Source organism: Homo sapiens, chromosome 5 (assembly GCF_000001405.40).
Source record: "Homo sapiens chromosome 5, GRCh38.p14 Primary Assembly".
NCBI classification, from domain to species: domain Eukaryota; kingdom Metazoa; phylum Chordata; class Mammalia; order Primates; family Hominidae; genus Homo; species Homo sapiens.
The window spans coordinates 43,925,019-43,926,736 of NC_000005.10; the positions used below are offsets into that span (position 1 = coordinate 43,925,019).

At 33.5% G+C, this 1,718-nt stretch overlaps 1 annotated feature.

The window, feature by feature from the left end:
* Positions 826-995: an enhancer, noted in NCBI's record as "experimental_85570 CRE fragment used in MPRA reporter constructs". NCBI's record gives its function as "activates a minimal promoter by MPRAs in K562 erythroleukemia cells, with activity observed for both the introgressed and non-introgressed 5:43926031 variant alleles {active_cell/tissue: K562}" and the evidence as "EXISTENCE:reporter gene assay evidence [ECO:0000049][PMID:34662402]".

Sequence of the window (1,718 nt, forward strand, 5' to 3'; positions counted from 1 at the left end):
CTCCTTTACTTTTCCCTCCACTTTTCTGAAATGGAGGGACTCTTGCCCCATATCTGCCTCAGCTGGGAATGTGCTGATTCTCACCTGAAGTCAGCTAGTCTGACAGTCTCATCCAAGGCTCTTGAGATAGTACCTGGATATTTCTGCTGATTATTCTGGACTCAAGGGCTCTTCAGTTAACAGGTGATAAATCCTGCCTGGACTGGGGTTTTCTTTTCAAGACAGCAATTTTCCTTCTAGCCCAGGGTGTGTCTGGAAATGCCATCTGGGAACTAGGTCCTGGAAAGGGGGCCTCACATCTCTGATTGGTACCATATCTGGCTGTGACTGAACTGGTATCCAAAATGCAAGACAAAGTCCTCACCACTTCTCCCTCTCCTCTCCTCAAGCAGAGGGAAGAGGTCTCTTTTAGAGCCTGAAGTTAGAAGATGGAGTGACTTAACAGTGTATTTTGAAAACACCAGTTTTTAATTTGATGAAGACTAGTTTATTGCTTTTATTTCCTTGATGGTTTGTGTGTGTGTTTGTGTTTTAGGAAATCTGCCTAATCCAATATTCAATAATAATCTCTCTTAGGTCTTCTTTTAGAAGTTTTTAGGTTGAAATTTTATGTTTAGTTCTATGATCATTTTTTTACACTTAATTTTTGTGTATGGTATGATGTAAAGATAAAGACTCCCTTTTGCTCCCTCATATATCCATCTGTTTCAGCACCACCAGTCATTGAAAAAGTCTACCTTTACACCGTTAAATTATTTTGGGACCTTTTGTGAATATCCATTAGCTACATATTGATAGATCCATTTATGAACACTCTATTCTGTTTTTGTTGATCTATATGTCTATGCTTAATAAAATATTACATTGCTCCAATTACCAGAGCTTTATAATAAGTCTTGAAGTCAGATAATATAAATGCTCCAACTTTGTTCTTTTTCAAAAAGGACTTGGTTAATCTAGGTACATTGCATTTCTATATAAATTTTAGAATTACCTTTCAATTACTACTGAAAAGCAAAACAACTAAAGCAACCAAAAAAAAACCCAATATTAAAAAACATTTTTTCTGGGATTTTTGAATAAGATCATATTGAATCTACATATCAATTTGTGAACTGACGTATTAACAATCTTCAATATCTCTTTTTTTATTTCCATAGGTTTTTGGGGAACAGGTGGTATCTGGTTACATGAGTAAGTTCTTTAGTGGTGATTTGTGAGATTTTAGTCACCCATCTCTTGAGCAGTATACACCAAACCCAATTTGTAGGTATAATTCTTCATCTGTTTAGGTACTCTTTAAGTTCTCTTAGCAATGTTTTGTAGCTTTCAGTGCACAGGCCTTGCACATGTTTTCTTAAATTTATCCCTAAACTTTTGAATGCTATTATAATATATGTATTTTTTCAAATTTTATTTTCCCATCTTTCTTTGTTAGTATACAGCACATAATTGATTTTCCATATTTACTATGTATTTTGTGACCTTGTTAGTACTAGTATTCCTTTTGTAGGTTTCTTATAATTTTCAATGTTTATTATCATGTCACTGAAGAGAGACAATTATTAATTATCAAATGCAAATATTCAGATCATTTACATTTAATGTAATTTTCTATATTATTGGATTTAAATCTGCGGTTTATTTCTTTTTTCTTTTGTTCTATGTTTTGCCTATTATTTTGTCCCTCTTTTCCTCTTTCATTGTCTTTTTACAGA